Raw genomic sequence first — 21,158 nt, 5'->3', positions numbered from 1 at the left:
TACTCCGCGTGGATTGGTTGACCGCCCTTCGAGCCCGGTGCTGACTGGCTTGCGTCTCTGCCACTTTCTTTCAGCTTAGTGGCGCGCGGCGCGGCGACGACCGCCGGGAGCGTGTGCAGCGGCGGCGGCGGAAGTGGCCGGCGAGCCCGGTCCCCGCCGGCACCATGGTGAGGGCAGGGCAACTGCGGGGTCTCACCGGGAGGCGGGAACAGCAGTCGTTGGGATCCCTGCGGGCGGGCGCTGTGGGCTTGGTTGGCGCGGGGCGAACGTAAGGTCCGAGCCTCGAGTCCCGCCCCCCGGCACGAGGCTGGGAAACTGAGGCCGGAGACTGCAGGTGGCTCTATCACGTTCGTGTCTGGGATTTAGGGTTGCACGGACTTGTATCCACAGTACAGTGGCCTCGCCTTAGTTAGTTTTCCCAGTTTGCAGGTGGGGAAACTGAAGTAAAAAAAAAAAAGGTGGGGATCCGCCAAATGCAGCAGAGAGTTTTTGGGCAGGGAAGGGGTCCCTTACGCTTCGGGCCCAGTCTGACCTCCCTGATTGAAAACTAGAGTGCTGGGAAGTAGGGGGCCAGTCTGAGTTGTGAAACTTAGTTTTAGGAATTTCAGAGCTTGCAAGATGCTAGCAGCACAGCCTCCTAGGCCTCTTGGTTTCTGGCTGAAAAGCAGGCCTGGTGCTGGGGTGTGGTGTTTCTCCTTGGGTCACATAGCATGTCATTCCAGCGGAAGGGGGCGTTTTGAGCTAGGGGTGGACAAAGTACATCCTCCCAATACAAAGAAGGAAAAATTGCGGCCCAGGTCTCTGCAGGGCCCATTGTTTATGATTCTGGAAGTTCTGGATCTGGGCTAGAAAGTGCCCGTGTCCCCCACTGTGCAGATCGGAAAAGGAATTCAGAGCTGGGAGTTTCCTGGCCCATCAGCTTCTGGTCCTTCTTTTTTCAATGAGAGAAACCAAGGCCCTTGTTGGGGATGTGACTTCCAGACTCTGTGAGACAGTGGGAGATTCAGTAACCAGGAGGGTCCCCCAGGGGTGGCTGCATCAGAACTGTGGATTAGTGAGAACTCTCCCTAAATCCGGCTGGTCAGTGTGTAACCACCCAATGGGTTCACCTTGCCTGTCTTCCTAGACAGATTTATCAAGACAGGGGAATTGCAGTGGAGAAAGAGTATTTCACACAGAGCCAGCTATGCAGGAGACCAGAGTTTTATTATTGCTCAAATCAGTCTCCGCTGAGCATTAGGGGATCCGAGTTTTGAAAGATAATTTGGCGGGTAGGGGCTCAGGAAGTGGGGAGTGCTGATTGGTTGGAGCTTCCTGAGGTCGATGGAGTCATCGACGGGAGTGTTGAAGTGAGGTTTTCTTGCTGTCTTCTGTTCCTGGGTGGGATCGCAGGACTGGTTGAGCCAGATTACTGGTCTGGGTAGTGTCAGCTGATCCGTCAAGTACGGGGTCTGCAAAATATCTCAAGCACTGATCTTAGATTTTATAATAGTGATGTTATCCCAAGGAGCAATTTGGGGAGTTTCAGACTCTTGCAGCCAGAGGCTGAAGTTACCTAAATGGTAATTTCTAATCTTGTAGCTTATTTGTTAGTCCTACAAAGGCAGACTGGTCCCCAGGCAAGAAGAGGGTCTTTTCGGGAAAGGGCTATTACCAATTTTGTTCCAGAGTCAAACTATAAACTAAATCCCTTCCCAAGGTTAGTTTGGCCTATACCTAGGAATAAGCAAAGATGGCGTAAAGGTTAGAAGCACAATGGAGTCGGTTAGGTCTGATCTCTTTTCACTGTCATAATTTCCCGCTACAATTTTTGCAAAGGCGATTTCAAGTGCAAGGATTCAGAGAGCCTGTCCCTCTCTGCGGTGTACTTAGAGGGCAGAGTTGGCATGTAAGACTGGGCAGAGCTGGAAGGATCCATCCCTGTGTTAAGTTTTGTGGGAGCAGGATCTTCGTTTTTCTTCCGACTAGATTCCCAGTATGTAGAACGGTGCGTGGGCAAAGTGTGAACTCATTCATTCAGCCCCTTCCCACCTTCTGAACATCCAGAGTCCTGGCTGTCCAGCTGTTTCCTGGAGGAGTAGCCGAGAATGGACAAGCCATCACAGGATACACACTTCCAGTTCCCTGTCGTCAGGGCAGGGCCAGAAGGAGTGGCCTAGGTTAGCAGCGGGGATGGGCAGTCCTGGACAGCTTCCTGAATTAGGAGGCACTGGGTTTAGGTCCTCGTGGATCTAGACCTGAGAACCAGATTCCAGATGCTCCAAGAAAGCCCAGAGAAAGGAATTCTCTTTTCTGAATTTTCTTGTGACCTTCCATAAACCAGGGTGGGGCCTCTCCTATCACACTTGGCACTTTTTTTCTTTTTCTATTTCATTTTATTTATTTTTTTGAGACAGAGTCTTGTTCTGTCGCCCAGGCTGAAGTGCAGTGGTGTAATCTCAGCTCACTGCAACCTCCACCTCTCCGAGAGTGATTCTCCTACCTCAGCCTCCCAAGTAGCTGTGATTACAGGCACGCACCACCACACCTGGATAATTTTTGTATTTTCAGTAGAGATCAGGTTTCACTATGTTGGCCAGGCTAGTCTTGAACCCCTGAGCTCAGGTGATCCACCCACCTCGGCCTCTCAAAGTGCTGGGATTACAGGCGTGAGCCACTGCACTCTAGACTTTTTTTGTTTTTCAGAGCTGAGATCTCACTCTCATCCAGGCTGGAGTGCAGTGGCACAATCACTACAGCCTCAACCTCACTGGCCCGTGATCCTCCCACCTGACCTCAGCCTCCCAAGTAGCTGGGACCACAGGCATGCATCACTAAACCTGGCTAATTTCTAGATTTTTTGTAGAGACAGAATCTTTTGTGTTGCCCAAGCTGGTCTCATACTCCTGGGCTCAAGCGATCCTCCCACCTCAGTCTCCCAAAGTGCTGTGATTGCAGGCACAAGCCACTGTGCCCAGCCTCACCTGGCACTTTGATGTATCTTCTTTTAAGATTTTGAGGATCCACCCCTTCCTCTGACCTCTCTCCAACAGAGTTTGGAGATGAGGATGTAGGAGAAATCAAGATATATGGTCACAGGCCCAGGCCATTGCAGCCTGGGAGGGCCTGGGAGTCAGGCAGCTCCCTGTCCCGCAGCCACTCCTTCCCTTACCTGTGGGGTGGGGCGAGTGTTCTGCCTTCCCTGCATGCCTCCCTGGGTAGTGTGTGCATTTTTCTTGTGTATTTATTCAGCAAATATTTACCGAGTCCCTCTCATGTGCCTGGCCTTGTGCTTGGCCCTGGACAAAGTCCACACCCACTTTGAGTGTTCCAGTCTAGCGAGGGACACAGGTAATAAACAAGGTAATTAAAGACTGGCTGCATCCTATGATGGAAACAAACACCCATGAGGCAGAGGGTGGCCATTAAAAGGGCCTGGCCAAAGGAGGTGACGTTTCAGCAGCCTGGGGAAGGTCACCCCAGGCAGAGGCAATAGCAGAAGCAAAGGTCAGGTGGCAGGAATGGGTGTGGCGGCCAGTGTGGCAGAGCCTGTCTGCCTTGACTCTATAGCGGGCCTGAGGAGTGTTGTGAGAGTGGGTCTGCACCAACCCTATTTGGGTTTTTTGTTGTTGTTGTTGTTGTTTTTGAGATGAAGTGTCACTGTCACCCAGGCTGGAGTGCAGTGGCACAATCTCAGCTCACTGCAGCCTCTGCCTCCTGGGTTCAAGCGATTCTTCTGCCTCAGCCTCCCAAGTAGCTGGGACTACAGGTGTGCGCCACCATGCTTGGCTAATTTTTGTATTTTTAGTAGAGATGGGGTTTCACCATATTGGCCAGGCTGGTCTCGAACTCCTGACCTCGTGATCCGCCCACCTTGGCCTCCCAAAGTGCTGGGATTACAGGCATGAGCCACGGCGCCTAGCCAGTCTTTCTTTTGTTTTGTTTTTTTGTTTTTTGTTTTTTTTTGAAACAGTCTCGCTCTGTTGCCCAGGCTGGAGTGCAGTGGCGCAATCTTGGCTCACTGCAACCTCTGCCTCCTGGTTTCAAGCGATTCTCCTGCCTCAGCCTCCTGAGTAGCTGGGATTACAGTTGCCTACCACCACGCCCAGCTAATTTTTGTATTTTAGTAGAGGTGGGGTTTTGCCATGTTGGCCAGGCTGGTCTGGAACTCCTGACCTCAGGTGATCTGCCCGCCTCAGCCTCCCAAAGTGCCGAGATTACAGGCGAGAGCCTCCGTGGCCATCCCACCAGCTCTCTTTGTTTCTCAGATGTTCTTTCTGCTGCTTTTTGGATGGGACTGCAAGTGACAGGCAAGGAGGCCGTGGGTCCTCCCAGGCTGTGCTATTGGTCGCTGAGACCAGGTGGTGGCCCAAGAGGGTCTGTCACTGGCATGGAAGGTGTGTCTACAAGCTACCTGCCTCTGGGCAGCTTTGCCAGGGCCTTGCTGGATGTCCCTGGGCAGGTCACTTCTGCTGTGGGCGCTGGCGCCTCCTCTGCAGAATGAGAGGTGGGCCTTTAAGGGCTAGCCTGACCTCTGCGCCTTCCCTGGTGATCCAGGAGGAGGTCCAAGGTCCCGTTCCTGTTACGGACTAGAGAAAGAAAACAGGCTTGCTGAGGAAAACCCACGGCTTCTTCACAGTAAAGGGCGACCTGGGCATGAGACCCGTGTGCCAGTCTGTGGCTCCTGTGTTTTCTCTGTGGCTGGTGGCACCCAGTCAGATGCACACCCAGCCGCCCGCAGCCCTCCTCCCCTGCCTCTCCTAGCAGCTGCCCCGGGGCCACATGGCCCTTTCTTCCCCCTTATCTGGCTCTTCCAGGAAGCCGGTGCAGGAAGTGGGCTTGGGCCTGGCTTCCTGCTGGCACCAACCTCCCCTGGGCAGCTCTTCTCAGGAAGGGGCTGTGGGATGTAGGATTCCCTCCCCAACCCCTTCCTTTCATTGGGGAGCCACCCGGCCAGGGTTGAGGGCCATTTCCGGCCTCCACAGGGAGAGGCCTTCAAGTTCACACCACCTGGAAAAGCAGCCACACTGTGGATTAGGGTGGTGGCCAGGGCAGGACTCCCAGCAAAGGCATCTGGGGTCAGGGCCACCTGGAATTCCAGTCACCAGGACAGGGCTAGGTGAAGCCTGTGTCCCATGAGGCACTGTCTTGTCAGGGCCCCTTGGTGCTGGGGCCTTCCTCATGGCAGTACTAGAACGGGCATGTTATAGGACCCCGCACCCAGGCACAGCTCTGCGTTACCCGAGGCAGCTCCCAGCGTACGGGTTGAGTTTTCTGTTTCCAAAATGAAAGTGTTGATTTCCCCCCCAGTAATAGAAATACTACATATTTGACATAATAAAGAAATTCAGTAATGATGGAAAAAAACATCTTGAAACCAGGCGTGGTGGTGCATACCTATAATTCCAGCTACTTGGGAGCTTGAGATGGGAGGATTCCCTGAGGCCAAGAGTTCAAAACCAGCTTGGGCAATATAGTAAAAGCCTGTCACCATCAAAAAAAAAAATCTTGAAAGTTCACCTTACCTGGTGACTTCCTGTCTTTGAAAACCCAGTTCAGGGCCGGGTGCGGTGGCTCACGCCTGTAATCCCAGCACTTTGAGAGGCCAAGGCAGGCGGATCACGGGGTCAGGAGATCGAGACCATCCTGGCTAACACGGTGAAACCCTGTCTCTACTAAAAATACAAAAATAAAAATAAAAAAAAATTAGCCGGGCATGGTGGTGGGCGCCTGTAGTCCCAGCTACTCGGGAGGCTGAGGCAGGAGAATGGCATGAACCCGGGAGGCGGAGCTTGTAGTAAGCCGAGATTGCACCACTACACTCCAGCCTGGGCGACAGAGCGAGACTCCGTCTCAAAAAAAAAAAAAAAGAAAACCCAGTTCAGGCGGGGGGTGATGGCTCAATGCTGTTACCCCAGCCCTTTGGGAGGACCAGGCAAGCAGATCATTTGAGGTCAGGAGTTCAAGACCAGCCTGGCCAACATGGAGAAACCCCATCTCTACTAAAAGTACAAAAATTAGCTGGGCATGGTGGTGCACCCCTAATAATCCCAGCTATTTGGGAGGCTGAGGCGGGAGGATCACTTGAACCCGGGAGGTGGAAGTTGCAGTGAGCCAAGATCACACCACTGCACTCCAGCCTGGGTGACAGGCTTGCTTCCCAGGCTCAAGCAATCCTCCTGCCTCAGCACCCAAGTAGCTGGGACTACAGATGCGCACCACCGTGCCCAGCAAAGTTTTGTATTTTTAGAGCAAGGCTTCATCTAAAAAAATAAAAATAAAACCAGCTCAGATGTGGCCTTCTCTGATGGGATTGACCCCTGCATTGGGGCCTGGCAGTGTCAGTCTTGGGCCAGTTGGGGCTGCCCTGCAAGGCATGGTCTTGTGCTTGCTTCAGACAGACAGGACCAGGCCAGCTCTGTCTCCTCCTAGCGCCATAGTACTGGGCAAGTTCCTCGGGTTTCCAAGCTGTAGTGTCCTCAACTCCATACTCAGAGTAACCTCATCAACATGGATGCATCTCAGAGATACCAGTTTGAGCTTAAAATACAAGCATTAGGGCAGGCACGGTGGCTCATGCCTGTAATCCCAGCACTTTGGGAAGCCGAGGCGGGTGGATCACCTGAGGTCTGGAGTTTGCGACTAGCCTGGCCAACATGGTGAAACCCCGCCTTTATTAAAAATACAAAAATTTGCTGGGTGTGGTGACGCATGCCTGTTGTCCCCAGCTGCTTGGGAGGCTGAGGCAAGCTGCTTGTGAGGCTTGAACACGGGAGGTGGAGGTTGCAGTGAGCCATGATCATGCCACTGCACTCCAGCCTGGGTGACAGAGCGAGACTCCGTCTCAAAAAAAAAAAAAAAAAAAAAATTGACCAGAGTGTTCAGCACCAAGAGCAGGTGGTGGCCACCTACGGGAGTAGGGAGGGTGTGTGAGGCTTTTCTTCCTAATCTGAGAGGCAGGTGTGTGTTCCAGGGCTGGGCAGAGTGAGGAAATGGCATTTCCAGTGGGGGGTGATTGACACGCACTCCTGTGCCCCCTCAACCGCACCGCACCATCTATGAGTCATGGGTGGGACTCAAGACCAGAGCTCCCAGGCGCTGGTCAAACAGACAAATCATGTGGCTTTATTTGCCTTTCAGCTTCCCTTGTCACTGCTGAAGACGGCTCAGAATCACCCCATGGTGAGTACTCAGTGGTCTGGGAAAGCCTGTTTGAGAGGGGGCCAGCCTCAGCACAGGGGCGGTGGCTGAGCAGACGGCTTCCTGGCCTGCCTGTCCACCAGCATGGCAGTTTGCTCTCTTCTCCCTCCCCAGGAGTGTCCACACTCCTGTCATTTCTGCTGCTTGTAAGAGTAATACATACATACTTACTAAAAATTTAATGGGCCAGTTGCAGTGGCTCGCGCCTGTAATCCCAGCACTTTGGGAGGCCAAGACAGGAGGATCGCTTGAGCTCAGGAGTTCGAGATCAGCCTGGGCAAGAAGAAAAACTTAAAATTAGCCAGATGAGGTGGTGTGTGCCTATAGTCACAGCTACTCAGGAGACTGAGGCAAGAGGATCGACTGATCCCAGGAGTTTGAGGCTGCAGTGAGCTATGATCATACCACTGCGCTCCAGTCTGAGCGACAGAGTGAAACCTTGTCTCTAGAAAAAGAAAATTAATGAGGTGGAAGGATCACTTGAGCCCAGGAGTTCAAATCCAACCTGGGCAATATAGCAAGACCCTGTCACTTAAAAAAATAAAAAGAACTTCAGGTTGGGCATGGTGGCTCAGGCCTATAATTCCAGCACTTTGGGAGGCTGAGGCTAGAGGATGGCTTCAGCCCAGGAGTTCAGAGACCAGTCTAGGCAACATGGAGAAACCACGTCTCTCCATAAAATATAAAAATTAGCTGGGTGTAGTGGCGTGCACCTGTAGTTCCAGTTAGTTGGGAGCCTAAGGCAGGAGGATCACCTGAGCCTGAGGCGTTTGAGGTTGCAGGTCGCTGGGTGACAGTGAAACCCTGTCTCCAAAAAATGATAATATTGGCCGGGCGTGGTGGCTCTATGCCTGTAATCCCAGCACTTTGGGAGGCCGAGGCGGGCAGATCAGGAGATCGAGACCATCCTGGCTAACACGGTGAAACCCCGTCTCTACTAAAAATACAAAAAAATTAGCCGGGCGTGATGGCGGGCACCTGCAGTCCCAGCTACTTGGAAGGCAGAGGCAGGAGAATGGCGTGAACCCGGGAGGCGGAGCTTGCAGTGAGCTGAGATCGCGCCACTGCACTCCAGCCTGGGTGACAGAGCGAGACTCCATCTCAAAAAAAAAAGGATAATATTACATACTAACACTTCAGTTAAAGTGCACAATTTAGTGGCATTTGGTGCAGTCACAGGTTGTGTAACCACCACCTTTATCTAGGCCGGAACATTTCCGTCTCCACAAAAGGAAAGCCCATTTCCATCAGCAGTCACTTCCCAGCCCCAGTCCCTGATGAGCATGAGGCAGCTGCCGTCTCTGTGGGGTTGCCTATTCCGGATATTTCCCATGCATGCGAACGGAGACCATGAGGCCTTTCGAGCCTGGTGGTTGTCACTCAGCAACGTGTTTTTGAGGTTCATCCACCCTGTGGCCTGTGTCAGTGCCTCATTCCTTATAGCCAGACGATACTCCGTGGAGCGGATACTTACCACTTTTTTTTTTTTGAGAGGGAGTCTAGCTCTGTCGCCCAGCCTGGAGTGATCTGGGCTCACTGCAAGCTCCGCCTCCTGGTTTCACGCCATTTTCCTGCCTCAGCCTCCTGAGGAGCTGGGACTACAGGTACACGCCACCACGCCTGGCTAATTTTTTTTGTATTTTTTTTTTAGTAGAGACGGGGTTTCACTGTGTTAGCCAGGATGGTCTCGATCTCATGACCTCGTGATCCGCCCGCCTCGGCCTCCCAAAGTGCTGGGATTACAGGCTCACGCCCGGCCTACATTTTGTTTATGTGTTTGTCTGCTGATAGGCATCTGGGCTCTTTCCCCTTTTTGGCTATTGCGAACAGTGTCACTGTGAACATTCACGCACACATTTTTGTATGGTTGCCTGTGTTCATTTCTCTTGGGCAGATGCCTAAGTTGAGTCATTTAAAAATCTCAGCCCTGGTGGGAGGCCAAGGCGGGTGGATCACCTGAGGTCAGGAGTTCAAGACCAGCCTGGCCAACATGGTGAAATCCCCGTCTCTACTAAAAAATTAGCTGGGCGTGATGGCAGGCGCCTGTAATCCCAGCTACTTGGGAGGTTGAGGCAGGAGAATCACTTGAACCCGGGAGGCAGAAGTTGCAGTGAGCTGAGATCACACCATTGCACTCCAGTCTGAGCAACAACAGAGAAACTTCCATCTCAAAAGAAAATCTCAGGCTTGGACTGAGTGTGGTGGCTAATGCCTATAATCCCAGCACCCCGGGAGGCCAAGACAGGAGGATCACTTGAGCCCAGGAGTTTGGGACCAGTCTGGGCAACAGTGAGACCCCACTTCTACAAAAGGAAAAGAAATTAACCACATGTGGTAGTGTGCGCTTATAGTCTCAGCTACTAGGGAAACTGAGGTGGGAGGATGGCTTGAGCCCAGGAGGTTGAGGCTGTAGTGAGCCATGATCACGATACTGCACTCCAGCCTGGGCAACAGAGCAAGACCCTGTCTCATAAAAGACACCAAAAAATATCAGTCTTTTCCTAACAGCAGCATATCCTCAGAATGATCTGCTACTTATCTTTGTTCTCAAAACATACCAAAATAGATGAGTAATTATTGCAGTAAAAAACAGCATTTGTGGAACACTGAAGCCCAAATATCTGGTGTTGTGGGGGTGCCTGCCAGGACCAGCCCAGCTGTGCCCACCTGGCCCCCAGCCACCCTGGATCAGTGGCCACCATCACCATTGTCTCACTTATTCCTTTAAACATTTCTGTGTTTCTTAGTTTTTTGTTTTTTTAAGACCAAGTGGCACTCTGTTGCTCAGGCTGGAGTGCAGTGGTGCGATCTCAGCTCACTGCAACCTCCCCCTATCTCAACTCACTGCAACCTCCGCCTCCTGGGTTCAAACAGTTCTCCTGCCTCAGGCTCCCGAGTAGCTGGGACTACAGGCATGCACCACCATGCCCAGCTAATTTTTATGATTTTAGTAGAGATGGGGTTTCACCATGTTGGTCAGGATGGTCTCAATCTTTTGACCTCGTGATCTGCCTGCCTCGGCCTCCCAAAGTGCTGGGATTACAGGCGTGAGCCACCGCGCCCGGCCCAGTATCATTTTTTAATTGCACAAAGGTTGGCGTCATGATAGACTGTCTAACTGCCAGCGAAGTGTCTAGCGGAGGCAGAGCCTGTCGCCTGTAAGGAAGGCCATTTAGGGGTCTGGGAACTGTGGGCTGAGGCCCGGAGGTGGTGGTCCATCTCAGGGCAGAGCTACACCTCCTGAGGGGCCCATGGCGCAGGGCTCCAGGGCTACAGCCAACCTCTAGCCTGTCTCTCTTCTAGTTGGTGGAGCTGAAAAATGGGGAGACGTACAATGGACACCTGGTGAGCTGCGACAACTGGATGAACATTAACCTGCGAGAAGTCATCTGCACGTCCAGGGTGGGTGCTGCACCCACCAACGGGGGTGGGATGCAGGGGGTGCACACTCAGCCTCCTCCCTCCCTCCCTGGGCCTCATGGGAGGAGTCAGTGGGGGAGGCCGCCTAGGACTGCTCGTCCTTCCAGGGGTCAGTCAGGAGGGACAGGGCAGGGTGAGCTAGGCCACCAAGTCTCCCAGTGTGCCCTGGACTTTGACCCTGTGGGAGACTTTCCTGCTGTGTGTCTGTTGGTGCCACCCCTGACCTGGAAGGACCTAGGACTGGGGACTCCCTGTGGCTCAGGCTGGGGCAGCCCCCTCCAGGGGAGGCCCAAGACTCCCGGACTCTGCTGCCTTTAGTCCAGCCTGGATGTTGCCTGCACTCTGCGGGCCATGGTAGTGTGGCCCTGGGATGTCCGGGATGCCCAGGTCACGGTGGGCAGGAGCAGCGCCAGGGCCCGGTGGGTCAGGAGCCACCAGCCAGAGCCCAAGACCGGAAGTGCCTGGCTAGGAGTGCTGCTGGGTCGGCCGGGGCTGGAAGATGGTTCCCCTGGTGTCACGGGCCTTCCCTGCCCCTGGGATGACCCACAGAGCACTGAGGAGGAGGCCAGGGATGGTGCTGAAGGCAGCGGCTCCCTTGGACTCCTCCCACCAACCTTCCCTGACCCCATCTGTCTTGTCTCCCTGTGGGTGACAGCCCCCCATGGTATAGGGAGGAAACTGCTGGGGAGCTTGGAGTGCCTGCCTGGGGTCACCTTGACAGGACAACAGGGCTCGAGGGGGGAGGCGCTTCTTCCTGAAGTGGCCGTATCTTGCCCTGACCGCCACCCCCACCCGGGACTGGGCCTCTCATCAGCACAGGGCTGGGCGGGGTGGGGACAGGTGGTGAGGCTGCTGTGCAGCAGCGCTAGAAGCTCTAGAAACTGCTTGCTGGGTTTCGTGCCATAGCCTGTCGGAGGGCGTCTGGGTGGGTCCAGTCTGGCTGTGTCGGATGGTGCCTTGGTGCAGAACCGCGTGCCTCCCATCTGCGGCCAGCGGGGCTCTGTCCACTTCCGGTATTGGAATCACCAGGCGTGTTGCGTGCGTGAGCATGTGCGGTCTTGTGGACACCTCCAGGTCCTAGACATGAGAAGCCTGTTGATTCAGAGGCTGCGTGGTCTCCAGGGGTTGGTTTGGCCTCTGCCTCCAGCTTCGAGTGGACGGATGGCTTTCCCTGAGCAGCCTGCCTCTGTGGCCAGGCGGTGATGCTGCCGTCACATGTGGCTGGGAGGAGAGGCGATGGGAACTCACATCGTCCCCATCTAAGTGGGGCCCTCCCTCCCTCAGAGGCAGGCCGCAGGATGCAGAGACCCCGGGCTGAGAGACCTCTGGAGCGCTGTGGGCAGGAGGCAGGGGCCTCCCTGCAGTGAGCTCAGGCCCTGCCCAGGTTCCTGCACGAGGAAGCCTCTGGGCCCTGCCTGGGAGAGCTGGGCGCCAAGTCACCTGCCCAGGCCCTGAGTCCCCACAGAACCATGGTGTGTCCGCCCCACGAGCCCTCGAGGGGTTCCTGGGAGAGTGAGCACCCAAAGGGGCTGTTCCTCCCCGCCCAGCGCTAGGCCAGGCCACACCTACCCAGGTGTGGAGGAGAGTGTCTGACAGGAGGACTTGGGGATTCGGGCAGGTAAGGCCTTTTGGGGTCAAAGTTAGCCAGATGAGAAGTGGGAAAACCACGTGCAAAGTTCTGGGGGCAAGCCCATGGCGTGTGTTCCGGAAACAGAAAGTTCCATCTGGAGGGAGTGTCGTCGGGCTGGGAGAGGACCGCCAGGGCGGGGCAGGATCTCGGGCCCTAGAGAGCCCTGCTGAGGTTCTTAGACCTTGCCCCCAGGCTGGAGGGGGCCCTGGGTGGGTTCCAAGCTGGAACATACTGTGATCTGACTTTAAAGGGCATCGGGGGCAAAGGCCATCCAGGCGTCGTGCGTGGGTCTGTCCAGGAACCTGGGCGGTGGGGCGGGGCTGGGAAACTGATATGGTAGGAATGGCCCTGGCCCCTGCTAATCCCTCGATCTGTCCCAGTGGGGGCCTCGGAGGCATTGCAGCATGAGTCTGTGTCTTTGCAAGGCCCCCATTTCTCCAGTCTTGGTTAGCTCTCCTAAAACTGGCATCGCTGGGAGCCGCCCTTGAGCCACCCTGGCAGGACCCAAGTCCCCCCATTTCCCGCCCCTCTTCACCCACCACACTAGGCCTGTAGCTTGCTCGCATGTCCCTGCACCCAGCGCAGGCCCTGTCAGGAGATACTTAGATGAATGAATGAGTCAGGGCATGTAGAGAGGCTTCCAGAAGTGAGGTGGGGCTGGGGCAGGAGGAGGAGTAGCTGGGCTTCGGCTGTGTCTGGTGCACAGGGAGGCCCCCACCCGCTCTGGGCTTTGGGCTGCAGGTGAAGAACCCCAACCAGAGAGAGCCCCATCCCAGGCTGGAGGGAGCCCCAGTCAGCCACTCCTGAGCCAGGCCCACGGGCAGAGGATAGGAGCCAGTCTTCCTTGTGAGTGCACAATGGGGGCTGCGCCTACCACACCCACCCTTGCTCCTGGGTGAAGGATTGCCTGGGGTCAGGACAGATCCTGCCTGCAGGGTGGACCCTTTGCCACGTATGTCCCGGGACTGATACTGTGCAGCTTGCAGGGGTGGTACGGGGTGCAGGCTGGGCAGGATCTGCAGGGCCTCCCGCGCTCCCAGGGCTGGGCCAGACGGCCCGGTGGTAAGTTAATAACCTGCTCCCCTTCTCCGCAGGACGGGGACAAGTTCTGGCGGATGCCCGAGTGCTACATCCGCGGCAGCACCATCAAGTACCTGCGCATCCCCGACGAGATCATCGACATGGTCAAGGAGGAGGTGGTGGCCAAGGGCCGCGGCCGCGGAGGCCTGCAGCAGCAGAAGCAGCAGAAAGGCCGCGGCATGGGCGGCGCTGGCCGAGGTGGGTCTCCCCTCTCCAGTGGACGTACCTGGGGCGGGAAGACAGCCACACGTGGCATCCCTCCTTCTTGGGGTTGCCCTTGCAGCGCTGCCTCGGAGCCTCCCAACCCTCCCGGGCCCCCCTCCTGGTCCTTGGCCATGAGCCGAGGCCCAGGCAGAGGAGCCCCGAGACCTGGGACTCAGCCCTCCTCTCACTGCGCCTCCTGGCGGTCCTCAGGGCACATCAAGTCACCTCCCCAAGCCTCAGTTTCCCCTCTGAGAGGGTATGGTGGTGCCCATCTGTCCAGGCCGCTGGCAACTCCACTTGGAACCTGGCGTGGCTCTATCCAGAGCCAAGGTCGCCCGCCCCCACCGGAGATGATGAATTGGCATAAAATTCCATTTGTTAGGCCCAGGGGCCATCTGTAGCCCCTGCCCTTCCTCACCTCTCTGTCCCCAGCTCTGTGTTCTCGGGGGGACCTGGGCTTTGCTTCTGCCATCCATGGGCACTGCCTGTGTGCTGGGCTCAGGTGCCAGCCTGGGGGCTTGCAGCACGGCATGGCTGCCCCCGGAAGGCCCCAGGCGCCAATTCTGTGCAGGCTCACGAGGTGGTCAGGAGTGAGCCCGAGGGAGGGGCAGGGATAGTACTCCAGGCAGGGAGCTTTGGGGATCTCAGGGTGGGTGGGGCCTCTGGGGTCCCCGGCCTGGCTCCTTCCCAGTAGTTGGGGTCAAGGTTGTTGAGAGAGTGGGTCGGGTCCTACCTAGGGAAGTGGGGGGTTTTCTCTGGCTGCTCTGCAGGAAGCCACTGGGCCATGGAGTGCAGATAGCAGCCTCGCAGTAACCCCCACCAGGCTGTGCACCCTAGCACAGCTGGTCCTGCCTGGTGAGAGGGGAGGTTGGTGGCCCAGGCCAGCGTTGGCCTCTGGCCTCTGTCCCCACAGGGCCTGGTGGCCCCTGGCTGGTGAGAGCCCTGACCTCTTAGATCCTCTGAATCTGGACCCCTGACCCCACCTTCACGGGGTTGAGGTCTGCAGAGTAGACCGTGATTCCAGTTCCTGTTGGGGTCAGTCCTCCTGTCCCCAGACCTCCCTGGCCCACGACTGAGCCTCCCAGCGGGCTCTGTGGAGGGCCTGAGCTATGCTGCCTGCAGCGCTGGCCTCTGGCCCCTGGCACCCAGCACATGGGCCACAGGGCCAGCTCCTCTTGCTGGCCTTGGCTCTCCTGCTGTTTGAAGCTCCAGCTTTGATTTCCTCAAGCGTTCGTCCAGCTAGAAAGTTCTCTGAAACGGCTCCCTAAACGGGGCTTACAGAGCTGGGGTCCCCAAGGGAGACAGAGAGGGAGGGATCAATGTTGGGTCCCGGCCTGACCAACCTGCTGCGTCCAGGCCTGGCCTGTGGTGAGGGTGGCGTGAAGGGGCGCCAGGCACACAGAGGGTGTGGGGACAGGCGTGCCCTGCGTGCAGCCTGCTCAGGATTACTGGAGGTGCCGCTGTAGCGTCCACTCAGTCCCTGGGGCCCTCATCTCCCGGGAACCCCCTGTCACCTCCCCAGTGGCCACATGCTCCCACCTCAGGGGCTTCATGGAAAATGTCATTTGTCCTCATGGTCTATCTCTGGCCTCAGGCCTGCTGGGGAGTCCCCTCCCCTTCCCCATCCCTGGGGCTGGATACACAGAAATCCCTCTTTCTGTTTTCCTCCTGGCAGGTAGATGAGGGGCTGTGGGTGGTTGTGGCGCATAGGAGGCCCCCCCCCCGCCAGGGAGCCCCCAGCCTGGCCTACTGCCCTGGTCTCTGCTCCACGCCTCTCCTACCTCCTCCTCCTCCTCCAGGAAACCCTTCTGGCTTTGTCCTTTAGGAAGCCTGCCCCAACCCCCAATGTGACTTAGTGTCCTCTGTCGCCTAGTCCCCCCCCCCCGCATCCCTGGGGGCTGGGTCTAGTCCCATAATGAGGATGCCCTGGAGTTCCTGCCTTCCTCAGATGCTCTGCCCCACGGAGGAGATCCAAGCACCCTCAGTCACCACCTCACACATGAGGAAGCTGAGGCTGGAGACTTAGGTGACCTGGCCTAGAGTTTCAGGGCGCCGGGATCCTGTCGAAGGTCCCACCCACCTGGCTCTGCTGCAGCGCCCTCTCTCTGTCCTCTAGGTGTGTTTGGTGGCCGGGGCCGAGGTGGGATCCCGGGCACAGGCAGAGGCCAGCCAGAGAAGAAGCCTGGCAGACAGGCGGGCAAACAGTGAGCGCCCACCCAGACCGGCTGCTGCGCCCCCTCCTGCCAGGGTGGCGATTCCGCTCCACAGTCTCGGACGGATCTGCTCAGAAAGGAAGAGGCAGGCGCCAGGGGGAACCCCCTTCGTGTTTTGTGACCCTCCCTTTTAGGTGAAGCCCCTTTTTCTTGCTAAAACCGGCAATTCTCCGGTTAGAAATGTTACTTGGTGTTTTTTGGTTTTGTGAAACGGCCGTCCCAAAACTGGCTGGATTCCTAGAAGAGTCTGTGTTGAAGGCATCTTTCAAGCCCTCGCTCTGGTTCTCAGGGCAGCATTTTCCAGGCGGGTTTGTTTTGCATTTCTTGGAGCCTCTCCGAGCAGCAACCAGACGGGAGATTTTTATTTTAAGCTGTTCATGCTGGGACTGACAGCCTGCAGGGTTTCCTTGGGCGCGGCCCCAAAATTGCCTTCAAAACAAACCCGGGACGGTTGAAAGCCTTCGAACCGTGCAGGGGATGCCTCGGGCCCTGGCCCTTCGCTTCCTCTCTTGTGTTATGGAAATAAAAACAAATAAAACTACACACTGCACATCCACTGTTCCTTTTGAGCTTCTGGGTGCACCTAGCGGGTCTCCTGCCCTCTGTCCATCGCTGGACTCTCAGGAAATCCCCGTTCCCGTAAGGGAAGCTTCCTTTTGAGAGTTCTCACCAGGTGTCAGCGGCACAGTGAGGCACTGATGTCCTTTTACAAAAGGCAAGACCAGCATCTGGACAGTGGGGGCTCTTGAGAGTCCCCGGCGCCCCCCACACCAGGTTGTCCTATAACCCTCTCCCCTCTGTGGAGACGTTAATGCCAAGGGGTGTGTGGGGAGGGAAGTCCCAGGCAGGGGCCACGCATGGTCCCCATCACCCCCTCCTGGGTGGCCTGGACTCCATCATCTATCCTCATCTGTCCACACTGGCGTTCACACAGAGAAGACAGGACAGGAATCCCCTCGGAAGATGCTCATGGAAGATTCTCACGAGGCTCCTGCCCCCTTTCTGAGCCAGGCCGGGTTTGCCACTCCTCGGGCGCGCACCTGAGACACTGAGTCAGCGCTTTCGAGAAAGGCTCCGGGTAGCATCTGTGGACCGTGAAGAAACCAGAGGGAAGCCCTGAGCCAGGCAGCGGCCCGTCCCCCTGCATAGCCTTCTCTTCAGGGTCCTCGTTCGGAGACCTATTTTGAGAGGTGATTGGAATAAAAGGTCCCGTCCGTGAGGAACTCTTTTTCTTGAGTCTTCAGAGTTACTTGCCATCGTATAGATTTTGCATTTACAATGTCCTCGCCTGGGATGTTCTCCTTGTGTGTGGGGTGGGGGACAGGGATGGATATCTGCAGTCGCCTGAATCCTCTCCGCCACAGCGGCACTTGATTGATGGTTAGAGATGGGGCATGTGGGGTCCAGGATGTGGCCTGCCCTGAACCTCACAAACCCGCCCCCTCAACACAGGCAGGGGCAGCAGTTGGGGGCCCGGGCCTGGAAGCCTTGGGATGCACCGGCCCACGGCACCCACCTGCCTGTTGGACAAGAGCATTTTTTTTTTTTTTTTGAGACGGAGTCTCGCTCTGTTGCCCAGGCTGGAGTGCAGTGGCACAATCTTGGCTCACTGCAACCTCTGCCTCGTGTGTTCAAGCGATTCTCTTGCCTTAGCCTCCTGAGTAGCTGGGATTACAGGTGTGCACCAACACAGACGGCTAATTTTTGTATTTTTAGTACAGACACAGTTCCACCATGTTGGCGAGGCTGGTCTTGAACTCCTGATCTCAAGTGATCCTCCCGCCTTGGCCTCCCAAAGTGCTGGGATTACAGGCATGAGCCACTGCGCCTGGTCGACAGGAGCATCTCTTGGCACACCCCATGCCCCTACAGTGTGGGCCGTGCAGGGGGCTGGGCTCACAGGGCGAGGTGGGTGGGGCAATGTTTAGAGGAGGAGGGAAGGAAGGGTGGGGAGCAGGGAGGCCCCATTTGCAGCTCCTGCCCCATGTCCTAGACTCACCGGCCCTTAGAGGCCTCTGGGGCTCTCCAAGGGGCCTGGGCTCCTTCCTCCCAGGGGTTGTGTGTGTCACGAGGCGTGGATCAAATCCAGGAGCTCTGGGGTCAGGCATCCTGGGAAGTTGGGATGGGAAAGCCCTCGAAGGCCCCTTCCCCTTCCTGATCTCCGTTTGGTTTTTTCTCCCTGACCAGGCTCTGAACTCAGAATGTGTTCCAACACCCCCTAGGTGCCTTCTCACCATTCAGGGTCCCAGGTGCTGGGGCTAATCCCCGGGCTCTTTTGCCTGCGTAATTGTGGCTTCTTGCCGGCGCAGCCAGACGCAGAGCCGGCTCTGACCTTTCCAGCCCGGCAGCTGCGGGCTCCTGGCCCGTGACTTGAGCCGCAGAGTCCCCTCGTCTGCCTCTGCCAACTTGGCCTTGTGGGCTAGAGTGGCCCCTGCTTAGGGGCAGCCAACTTCCAGAAGCTTCCGGCCCCCCTCCCTCGAGCTGGGTGTCGGACCAGCTCTGTGTTTCATTCTTCCTGGTTGGTTTCACAAAGCCTCATCCTCAGCCCCCTCAACAAGAAAAGAAACCAAAAGCACCAGTCTAGTTCCTAAATCCAAGGCTTCCAGGTCTTTCTGTCCCTCCGATGGTCTGTGCCCTCCTCACCCAACTGGGGCTGCCTTTATCGTAGATGGTCCCCACCCGCCCCCAGACCTTCTCGCCTGGAGTTTGCTTTCTGTTAGGGAGGCCCACGCCTGGCGCTGTGCTGTGACTCAGCCGGGGGCTGAGCTCTGCAGGGCCAGCCCACAGTCCCCCGCCAGAGTGCGACAGGCCCGGGTCGGCTGCTGACGCCACCTCATCCTGGAGCCAAACACCCGCTTCAGGGACAAAAGTGCAGAGGCTGGCCTTGGGCAGTGGCCCCCGAGAGGCAGCTGTGGGAAGCCATCCCTCTCTCCTCCTCCTCCTCCTCCTTCTCCTTCTCCTCCCCCATCCCCCTCCTCTCACTCCCCATCTTCCTCCCCATTCCCCTCCTCCTCCATCCTCCTCCACTCATCCCCCACTCCCATCCCCCATCCCCCTCCTCTCTCTCCTCCTCCTCTCCTCCTCTGGGCTTCACCTGCTGTTCCCAGCACTACTCTGACAGCCACCCCCAGATGGCCTGTGTCCCTGTCACCTCCCTCCCCACCTTCTTCTTTTGGAGCCCAGGGCCTGGCACGAGCCTGGCACTAGGGCCACTTGCCTTGTCCCAGGTGCTGGTGACACAGCCCCGGCAATCCTTCCCTTCCACAGGAGTGAGCCAGCCACAAGCATATGCATATCAAATGCATAAATGCTGTAAAAAGAAGAAACCAGGCCAGGCGCAGTGGCTCATGCCTGTAACCCCAGCACTTTGGGAGGCCGAAGTGGGCGGATCACCTGAGATAAGGAGTTCAAAACCTGGCCATCATGGTGAAACCCCATCTCTATTAAAAATACAAAAATTAGCCGGACGTGATGGCACAAACCTGTAATCCCAGCTACTCAGAAGGCTGAGGCAGGAGAATCGCTTGAACCTGGGAGGCGGAGGTTGCAGTGAGCTGAGATCGCGCCACTGCACTCCAGCCTGGGCGACAGATCGAGACTCTCAAAAAAAAGAAAAAGAAACCAGAAACAGGGCGGGCTCGTGAGGAGGTGAATGAAGAGGTGGTCAGGGAAGGTGAGAGAAGGACACTGAAGATTCAGGAAGGGCCTGAGAGACGAGGGAGCCAGCCACCTTGGGAAAGAACATTCTGGACCAGCAGGGGTCAGGAGGACAGTCCCGTGCAAAGGCCCTGTGCCCAGGGGACACAGGAGCAAACAGAAGGGCAGGAAATGGGGAGGATGTGGGCCCTGAGTGACATGAGAAGCAGCCACAGAGGGTTCTGGAACAGTCAGAAGCAGGGGTGGAAGCAGGAAGGGGGCAGTGCTGGGGCCTCAGGGCAGGGAGGAGGAGGCTGCCAGGGCCTAGGCTGACCAGCTGGCCTTGCCCAGGAAGTGCAGGACCCCGAGGTGGCACCTCCTTTCCACAGAGCAAGAGGAGGCCGGCTGGGTGCTGTGGCTCACAGCGGCAACTGTAATTCCAACACTTTGGGAGGTCGAGGCAGGCGGATCACCTGAGGCCAGGAGTTTGAGACCAGCCTGGCCAACGAGGTGAAACCTTATTTCTACTAAGAATACAAAAATTAGCCAGGTGTGGTGGCACGTGGTGCCTGTAATCCCAGCTACTCAGGAGGCTGAGGCAGGAGAATTGCTTAAACCCAGGAGGCAGAGGTTGCAGTGAGCCAAGATAGCGCCACTGCACTCCAGCCTGGGCGACAGAACGAGAGTCTGTCTCAAAAAAATGATACTACTAATAATAAATTAAAAATTTTTTAAAAATTTAAGAGGAGGTCCAGTCAAACCAAGTCTCGAGTGGACAAGAAGCTGCTGGCCACACAGAGAGAGCCGGAACAGGTGGAGGAACTGCAAGCACGGAGCCTCTGAACTTCTGTGGGGAAGGGGCAGAGGGGGTCAGGGCTCAGGCCAGAAGCCCCTACAGGGCCGGGCGCGGTGGCTCATGCCTGTAATCCCAGCACTTTGGGAAGGCAAGGCGGGTGGGCGCCTGTGGTCCCAGCTACTTGGGAGGCTGAGGCAGGAGAATGCCGCGAACCAGGGAGGCGGAGCTTGCAGTGATCGGAGATCACGCCACTGCACTCCAGCCTGGGCGACAGAGCAAGACTCCGTCTCAAAAGAAAAAATAAAATAAAATAAAATAAAAAAGAAGCCCCTACAGGAGCTGGGGTGGGCACTTGCAGGGATCTGTTCCTGACGCTTGGCATCAGCCACTTCTTTTTTTTTTTTTTTTTTTTGAGACAAAGTCTCACTCTGTCGCCCTGGCCGGAGGGCAGTGGCGCGATCTCCACTTACTGAAACCTCTGTCTCTCAGGTTCAAGCAATTCTCCTGCCTCAGCCTCCCGAATAGCTGGGATTACAGGCGTCCGCCACCACGCCCAGCTAATTTTTGCATTTTTTAGTAGAGACAGGATTTCGCCATGTTGGCTAGGCTGGTCTCGAACTCCTGACCTCGGGCAATCCGCCCGCCTCGGCCTCCCAAAGTGCTGGGATTACAGGCGTAAGCCATCTCGCCCGGCCAAGCATCAGCCTCTTCTCAAGGAGACTTCGAGTGAGGGCGAGGATTCCCCGAGCTCCCACTCAGCCTTGCCGCTCAGCCCCGTGGGTTTCCAAAGCCACTTCCAACCCAGCACCTCCGAGGGTCCTCACAGATGGAGAAATGAAGGCTCAGGACAGGCACACAATCCAAGCAACAGCCGATAATTGTTTTTTATTTTTTTTACAGATAGGGGTCTCACCATGTTGTCCAGGCTGGTCTCAAACTCCTAGGCTCAAACGATCCTCCCACCTTAGCCTCCCAAAGTGCTGGGATTACAGGCCTGAGC

General features: G+C 56.5%; 1 protein-coding gene and 1 long non-coding RNA gene across 5 annotated transcripts, besides 8 other annotated features; one reads left to right on the top strand and one right to left on the bottom strand.

Annotated features, from left to right (window-relative positions):
- Nucleotides 49-228: a silencer, noted in NCBI's record as "silent region_10389". NCBI's record gives its function as "represses an Ori minimal core promoter by ATAC-STARR-seq in GM12878 lymphoblastoid cells {active_cell/tissue: GM12878}" and the evidence as "EXISTENCE:reporter gene assay evidence [ECO:0000049][PMID:35858748]".
- Nucleotides 109-16,949, top strand: LSM4 (LSM4 homolog, U6 small nuclear RNA and mRNA degradation associated). Of its 2 annotated transcripts, NM_012321.5 has the most exons (5): nt 109-167; nt 7,120-7,161; nt 10,483-10,581; nt 13,324-13,507; nt 15,630-16,949. In NM_012321.5, the coding sequence occupies exons 1-5, from the start codon at nt 165-167 to the stop codon at nt 15,719-15,721; spliced, it is 420 nt and encodes a 139-aa protein (NP_036453.1). In that variant the 5' UTR covers nt 109-164; the 3' UTR covers nt 15,722-16,949. The 2 variants fall into 2 exon arrangements, with proteins under 2 accessions (NP_036453.1, NP_001239058.1); NM_001252129.2 differs by lacking the exon at nt 7,120-7,161.
- Nucleotides 1,188-7,516, bottom strand: LOC105372300 (uncharacterized). Of its 3 annotated transcripts, none has more exons than XR_007067157.1 (2): nt 7,351-7,516; nt 1,188-1,451 (listed from the first exon to the last, which is right to left on the bottom strand). It is a non-coding gene; the product is annotated as an uncharacterized LOC105372300 (long non-coding RNA). The 3 variants fall into 3 exon arrangements; XR_007067156.1 differs by having other exon boundaries at nt 5,505-7,440; XR_936365.1 differs by lacking the exon at nt 7,351-7,516 and adding an exon at nt 2,964-3,668.
- Nucleotides 3,825-4,571: an enhancer, noted in NCBI's record as "H3K27ac-H3K4me1 hESC enhancer chr19:18429424-18430170 (GRCh37/hg19 assembly coordinates)". NCBI's record gives its function as "activates a minimal SCP1, AML or CMV promoter by ChIP-STARR-seq in primed H9 embryonic stem cells {active_cell/tissue: H9 hESC(primed)}" and the evidence as "EXISTENCE:reporter gene assay evidence [ECO:0000049][PMID:30033119]".
- Nucleotides 4,652-4,946: an enhancer, noted in NCBI's record as "tiled region #14103; K562 Activating DNase unmatched - State 5:Enh". NCBI's record gives its function as "activates a minimal TATA promoter and a strong SV40 promoter by Sharpr-MPRA in K562 cells {active_cell/tissue: K562}" and the evidence as "EXISTENCE:reporter gene assay evidence [ECO:0000049][PMID:27701403]".
- Nucleotides 8,143-8,643: an enhancer, noted in NCBI's record as "H3K4me1 hESC enhancer chr19:18425352-18425852 (GRCh37/hg19 assembly coordinates)". NCBI's record gives its function as "activates a minimal SCP1, AML or CMV promoter by ChIP-STARR-seq in primed H9 embryonic stem cells {active_cell/tissue: H9 hESC(primed)}" and the evidence as "EXISTENCE:reporter gene assay evidence [ECO:0000049][PMID:30033119]".
- Nucleotides 15,287-16,244: an enhancer, noted in NCBI's record as "H3K27ac-H3K4me1 hESC enhancer chr19:18417751-18418708 (GRCh37/hg19 assembly coordinates)". NCBI's record gives its function as "activates a minimal SCP1, AML or CMV promoter by ChIP-STARR-seq in primed H9 embryonic stem cells {active_cell/tissue: H9 hESC(primed)}" and the evidence as "EXISTENCE:reporter gene assay evidence [ECO:0000049][PMID:30033119]".
- Nucleotides 17,711-18,216: an enhancer, noted in NCBI's record as "H3K27ac-H3K4me1 hESC enhancer chr19:18415779-18416284 (GRCh37/hg19 assembly coordinates)". NCBI's record gives its function as "activates a minimal SCP1, AML or CMV promoter by ChIP-STARR-seq in primed H9 embryonic stem cells {active_cell/tissue: H9 hESC(primed)}" and the evidence as "EXISTENCE:reporter gene assay evidence [ECO:0000049][PMID:30033119]".
- Nucleotides 17,711-18,486: a biological region, named in NCBI's record as "H3K27ac-H3K4me1 hESC enhancer GRCh37_chr19:18415779-18416284".
- Nucleotides 18,107-18,486: an enhancer, noted in NCBI's record as "active region_14312". NCBI's record gives its function as "activates an Ori minimal core promoter by ATAC-STARR-seq in GM12878 lymphoblastoid cells {active_cell/tissue: GM12878}" and the evidence as "EXISTENCE:reporter gene assay evidence [ECO:0000049][PMID:35858748]".

Source organism: Homo sapiens, chromosome 19 (genome assembly GCF_000001405.40).
Source record: "Homo sapiens chromosome 19, GRCh38.p14 Primary Assembly".
Lineage (NCBI taxonomy): Eukaryota > Metazoa > Chordata > Mammalia > Primates > Hominidae > Homo > Homo sapiens.
Note: the sequence above shows the minus strand (reverse complement) of the source record. Positions and strands in the feature narration are given on the sequence as shown.